Raw genomic sequence first — 6,639 nt, 5'->3', positions numbered from 1 at the left:
TGGAGTTGCAGTGAGCTGAGATCACACCACTGCACTCCAGCCTGGGCAACTGAGTGAGACTCCGTCTCAAAACAAAACGAAACAAAAATATATTATTACAATTAATTTAACCTTTTTCTGATTCCTACATATTCTATTTTGCATTTGGGCCTTTCCTCCCAAATACATGAGAAAAGAAAATACATCTCCTGATGCTTTCCTTACTGTTGCTCCAGGAAAAACACACCATATGAGAGACATAAATGCTTGCTACAGAGGCCTAATCTAGGCCATGCTTGGGACAAACTCGATGCTGTAGTCACCCTCCTGAGGCTTACTTTCTCCTGGGCATCTAAACTTAAACAATTCCATCCCTCCCTAGCTCTACCCCCTCTGTGAGGCTCTTGTGAGAATGATAATATTACATAAACTGTAGGTGCTCAAACAGTGTTTATTGAATGACTGATGACAGAGGAAACAGTTCTATGTCATTTTATAGATAGCAAAAATAGAGAGGAACTTGGAGTTTTAAGGGAAAGATCCACATTACTGCTCTTCTGCTTCCTCTAGCTCCAGTGATGGTGTTGGCAGTATGTTTGGTGGAGGTGGTGCTGGTGGTGGCGAGGCAGTGGCAGAATCTCTGCTTTCTTTGGTGTTACTCTTGGTAGAAGTAGCAGTGTATGTGATCTGTCCTGGGGTCATAGTGCTGATGGTGGCAGAGTTCATAGGGGTGGCATTTGGAATGATGACAAAGTTGGTATTAGCAAAAAAGCTAGTGCTTTTGATTTGGGGGAGAACAGATAAAATATGTTTTCTTTGTATCACAGCACTAGAATTCTTGGCAGGTTTTAGCATTTCTTGGACGTCTTCATTAAGTACATTTGGTGTTCCATATTGCAGGTAGTTTTTAATCAATTTAACCACTTTTGGTCCAACACAACATTTTTTCATCTTGCATTTCTGTATCTCTTTTTCATCCACATTGCAGTGATCCCTGCATCTCCCCAAACCCATTAAACAGCGTCTCAAGCCAATAAATTCTGTATAAAAAAAGAGAAAGCCATTGAGCCAAGGTTAATAACTAGAGATGATGTTAAAACTGCTAGTGGGAGATGGATAGACTAAGAGAGAGTTTACTCATACTACATTTTAAGCCCAGTGTTTAGGAATGTTGATGAAGGCAAATGGGCAGGCTGAGAGCGTCTCTATGCCCCTCTTGAATCCAAAGTAAATTTCCTGTTTAGTCTGCCTTCCTTGAGTAACTTTAAGAAGCAAAGGGCACGTAGATGATAGAGTAATTATTTGCTTTTAGGATGGAATTTTAGACCTTCAACTTAGCATCTTAGGTACTTGTCAGACATCACTATCCCATCTCCATAATCTTGGGAAATACCAATGAGAGCCAAGTCCATCATAAAACTAATTTAAGAAAGAAGTTCAAAAGAGAATCAATAGAATTTTCAGGAGTCTTATCTTTTCACCAAACTCAGTAGCCCATGACTTCTCTCTTCTCAACAATCACTAGATCTGTGATTCCTGAAGCATGGTGTTCTATCTCTTCTAGCCTCTTTGGACACTCTATCTCTCAGAAGTCTCATTCATTATCCTAGCCTTAACCTCATATCCACCAAGGTAACTTCTGTATTGTTATCTATAATTCTAAATTTCCTGCTCGGCTTAGTACCTTATCTTTATCTGCTGAATGACTTTTCCATCCTAATGTCTCGTGTTTCTTTTTTCTGAATCAAGAAAGCTTTTCTCCCTTGTTCATCTTAATAACCCAATGATTTTCCCTAAATTACAAGAGATTTATGTAGCATCTGCTAATTTTCAAAGCATATTTGCATACATTTCCACATTGTTTTCTCATCAAACGGGAAACAGAAAAATTCTTATATTGGAATCAGCTGCATTGATTAACCCCATTATACTCATGTGAAATTGAAGTTCAAAGTGGTTAAGTGACTTTACCCAAGATGACACAGCCATACTTGCTTATGGTACTACCCTTTTCCTAGGGTCCCAAGATAAAAACATTAGAAGATAAAAACATTAGAAGCATCTTTGACACTTCCACTTTCCCTGCCCCGAAACCCTTTGCTAATTTTTTCAAATAGCTGGATGATTCTTGTATTCTGAAACAAATCTCAGTGCTTCTCCTTTCTTTTCCAAAAACAATGGTTAATCCCCTGGCTTAGCCTTTTGCTATAATGCATTCCTAGATGCCCTTATGGTAGTTTGGGGGTTTTCAGGAAGACAAAGTCTGAGAGAAGCGATAAAGGCTCTGGAAAACCTGAAAGAATTCAAGATGGAGAACACAGGCCTGTTTACTTGATCTTGAAAGGGTTTTTTTTTGAGCATGAGGGAAGAACTTCCTCCTTTCTACACCAAGCACAAACTGATAGGAAACTTTGCTTCAAGAGGTGGTTTCACAGGAAGGGGAACAACACACACTGGGGCCTGTTGGGTGGAGGGAGAGCATCAGGAAAAATAGCTAATGCATCCTGGGCTTAATACCTGGGCGATGGGTTGGTAGGTGCAGCAAATAACCATGACACACATTTACCTATGTAACAAACCGCACATCCTGCACAAGTACCCCAGGACTTTTTTTAAAAAAAAAGGGCTTTTAAGATAGAAATAGAGCTAAAAGGAGGTAGACCTGGGCTTAGTCTTAGCATGATAGACATATACAGGGCAGGAAGGCAGCATTATATTTTGGATAGTTTCTGAATAGACAAAAAATACCCTGCTTTCTCTGTAGCTTCCTGGGTGTTTCCACTGGACACAATCTGGCAGTTGGGGCCTATGAGAATGTATCAGTGCATGACTGATACAATAGGTAAGCTCTTTAGCCATCTTTTTGAACAGCTAATCTTTCAGTCTCCTCTCTTTGGGTTTCCATTGTCATGGGCAGCCAAATCCTTGGTTCCTCTCATCTACCCATCTTAAACTTGGGAATCCACATTACCTGTGTTCACCTGGTACTGTAGCATGAGGCTGGCAAAGATAGGAAAAAGGAGCTTCATGGTTGGGTGCCAGAGAGGAAGCCTTGAATCTGGGTTGATGCTCCTGAGCTCCAGCCTTTATTGGCCTCTTCGTGGCCTTATGCCATGAGCAGTGAAGTGCAGCCAAAGCAGGTTTGTATGCTGCTCGCAGTATAGTTGTGTTTTTTCTGACTCTGTTTGAAAACACCCTTTCTTGAACACCTCTATGCAACAAATTCCTTGCTCTTGATCCTGGAGGAAAACATAAGATAGGTAAGATGAGAAAGAAAGAGCAAGCCCTTTGCATGTGTCTCTCTTTTGCTTTTTTGAGATGGAGTCTCACTCTGTTGCCCAGGCTGGAGTGCAGTGGCGTGATCTCGACTCACTGCAACCTCCGCCTCCCAGGTTCAGGCAATCCTCCTGCCTCAGCCTCCCAAGTAGAGTATCTGGGACTACAGGCATGCACCACCATGCCCAGCTAACTTTTGTATTTTCAGTAGAGACGGGGTTTCACCATGTTGGCCAGGCTGGTCTCAAACTCCTGACCTCAAGTGATCCGCCCACCTTGGCCTCCCAAAGTGCTGGGGTTCCAGGCATGAGCCACCGCACCCAGTCGCATGTCTCTTTCTTAACGTTGGAGTAGGATAAGAGTTAGATATTTGATTCACTGATTGTCAGCCCAGTTATGCTAAGGTTGGCACTTAGTGCATGAGAATTAGAAGAGCTAGAGGAGAGTGAAGATTCTGCCTTGTTTGTACTGGTATGTCCAGTGGCCAGCATGGGTATTGGATCAACATACAAAGTCAGTACGTTTGTTAAACAAGTTCGTGGGAGACAGCTCTTGGCACATCTTTAACTTTTGAGTTTACAATGATTCCCACATCCTTTTAAAGTAGCAACTAAAAAAAAACTTTTTTAACTTCGCGGGTATATGTGCAGGATGTGCTGGTTTGTTACATAGGTAATGTGTGTCATGGGGGTTGGTTGTATAGATTATTTCATCACCCAGCTATTAAGCCTAGTGTCCATTAGTTATTTTTCCTCATCCTCTCCCTCCTCCCACCTTCCACTCTCCAGTAAGCTCCAGTGTGTGTTGTTCCCCTCTGTGTGTCCATGTGTTCTCATCATTTTGCTCCCACCTATAAGTGAGAACATGCAGTATTTGGTTTTCTGTTTCTGCCTTCATTTGCTAAGGATAATGGCCTCCAGCTCCATCCATGTCCCTGCAAAGGACACGATCTCATTCTTTTTTATGGCTGCATAGTATTCCGTGGTATATATGTACCACATTTTCTTTATCCATTCTTTATCCAAATGGCCAAATGATGGGCATTTGGGTTGATTCTATGTCTTTGTTATTGTGAATAGCGCTGCAGTGAACATATGCATGCATGTGTCTTTATAATAGAACCATTTATATTCCTTTGGGCATATACCCAGTAATAGGATTGCTAGGTCAAATGGTATTTCTGACTTTAGGTTTTTGAGGGATTGCCACACTATCTTCCACAATGGTTGAAATAATTAAAAGCAGCAATTTTTATAGTGTACTGCTCAGATTCCTTGGTCGTAGCTGATTGATCCAGGTGTAACAATAGAACCAAGCCTACCAATCAGATGCTTTCCCCTGCTAATTTGGGACATTTCCTAAGAAACTCAGATATTGAAGCTCATTGGCTCTGAATATTATTAATTGTTCAAGTTTCAAGAGTTTCCCTGGTTCCTCGCCTTCCTGAAATTCATGTCTTCTTAGGATTTCATTAGCTACTATAGTATCCAATGACTCCTCAGTTTTGTTTAAATTAACTGTTATTTTTTAAAACAATAAAAGCAAATCTTATGAACTTTCACTTTATGAAATGTATATTTTACTTCTATGAACAAAAATAATCAAGCTTAGGCATATTTACTTACTACTTGTCAATATCAAGAGATGGAATTAACAGCCCTTTGGAATCAGTTAATCCTGAATATCGCATATTAATTGGTTTCTGGTGTTTTAAGATGCATTGAAATAACATTATTCACCTCATTGTGTCTTGCTAGTCCCAAAGCAATAAGAATATGGAAAGTACTGGTACAAAGAGAAGCACAGTTATTATGGAACAAAAAGTTGAGTTAATAAGAATTGGAAAGTTATGAAAAATTAAGTATGTTGCATGTATATATGGAATGAATCTATCAACAGTGTAGCATAATTTTGTAAAAAGACAAATTATTCACATGTGCAAAGTGTTGCATTTATGTGTATCAGTTGGGAAATGAAAAACACTAGCTATTTTCAACAGAAATATTTTTAATACTCAGAATTATGTGCTTATAAACTCTCTACAGAAGCTGACTGTGGGCTTGGTCTCCCAGAATGACTTCCAGAACATTCCAACAAACTGGCCCAGCAGAGAATCTGCTAGTTCTTTCATAGTCAGGAAAGTAGGGTGACAGGATCCCATGATTAGACATGCTGGACTTCAAGAACACACCACGGTAGCTGTAATATAAGAGCAAGGATATTTTTCTGCTGCTTCTACAACTGTCTGTTGAAACCCATAGAGCTAGGGATCAGACATTGGAATGTAGCAGAAAAACTCAACTGAGTTTAAAGATTTAAGATTTAATTTCCCTAACAATTTAGAACTGTCAAATTTTCAATTTCTTCTTGGGTCACATCAAGTAATGTTTATTTCTTCTAAATTTCATTTTTGGCATAAGGTCACTCACAATATGTCCTTTGATCTCTTTACTATCTATAGAGTTTGTAGTGATGGCTACGTGTTTTATTCTTCATATGGGTAATGTGTTTTCAATTTTTTCTTTGTTATTCCTATAGTGAATTAATTAATTGGTCTTTTCAAAATCAGCTTTTGGTTTTGTTGATTCTATGTTTGATTTTTATTTAATTATATTTTATTTTAAATATTATGAAAATTAAAAAATATTTAATTATTTTCTCCTCTCAGCTTTATCTTCCTTTCTTTGAACTTCTTTGAATAAAATTTCATTTTATTCTGTTATTGTTTTCTAACTTATTATTTGTGTTGTTATCTCATACATTTTCAGCTTTTCTTCAGTATAACCAAGTGGGTAAGACTCTAATTTTCCCTTTATATGCAGCTTTAGCTGGACTTCATAAGTTTTTATTTGCAGTGTTTTGTTATCATAATCATTCACTTAAAAATAAACACTTCAATTTCCACTGTGTCATCTTTTCTGACATATGAATTAGTTTGAACCTTGCTATTCACAGTGTGGTGGAAAGACCAGAAGCATCAACACTTCCGGAGAGCTTGTCAGAAATGCAGGATTTCAATTCATCTCAGAATGAGTCAATCAAAATCTGCGTATTAGGAAGATCCTCAGGTGATTTGTATGTACTTTAATATCTGAGAAACATTGGTTGAGAAATGTGTTTCTTATCTGAGCATGTGGGGACATTTTAGTTATGAGGGAACTTCAAACAGTTTGTGGAAGATGACATTAAAATATAAAAATATAAAGATATAAACTTTATTTCTCAACATAAGCTCCATCAAGTTCAAGACACTTTTGTAAGCAATGGTACCAGCCACTTAGTCTATCCCTGAAGGACTGAGCTTCCTGGGAATTTAACCACATCAGTGTTCTTTTACATTATTAACTGAAGAAAAATTGGTGTCCTTTAAAGATTTTTTTTTAA

The 6,639-nt window shown here is 38.4% G+C and overlaps 1 protein-coding gene across 1 annotated transcript; it reads right to left on the bottom strand.

Annotated features, from left to right (window-relative positions):
- Positions 1 to 410: 410 nt before the first annotated feature.
- On the bottom strand, positions 411 to 3,039 carry DEFB129 (defensin beta 129). The gene is made up of 2 exons (NM_080831.4): positions 2,951 to 3,039; positions 411 to 1,019 (listed from the first exon to the last, which is right to left on the bottom strand). The coding sequence occupies exons 1-2, from the start codon at positions 3,006 to 3,008 to the stop codon at positions 526 to 528; spliced, it is 552 nt and encodes a 183-aa protein (NP_543021.1). The 5' UTR covers positions 3,009 to 3,039; the 3' UTR covers positions 411 to 525.
- Between the last annotated feature and the right edge of the window lie 3,600 nt (positions 3,040 to 6,639).

Source organism: Homo sapiens, chromosome 20 (genome assembly GCF_000001405.40).
Source record: "Homo sapiens chromosome 20, GRCh38.p14 Primary Assembly".
NCBI lineage: Eukaryota > Metazoa > Chordata > Mammalia > Primates > Hominidae > Homo > Homo sapiens.
Note: the sequence above shows the minus strand (reverse complement) of the source record. Positions and strands in the feature narration are given on the sequence as shown.

Coding starts and splice junctions, on each gene's coding strand:
- DEFB129 (NM_080831.4), bottom strand. CDS start 3,008: ATGAAGCTCCTTTTTCCTATCTTTGCCAGCCTCATGCTACAGTACCAG. Junction 1,020..2,950: donor ACAGTACCAGGTGAACACAG/GTAATGTGGATT, acceptor TTTTTTATACAG/AATTTATTGGCTTGAGACGC.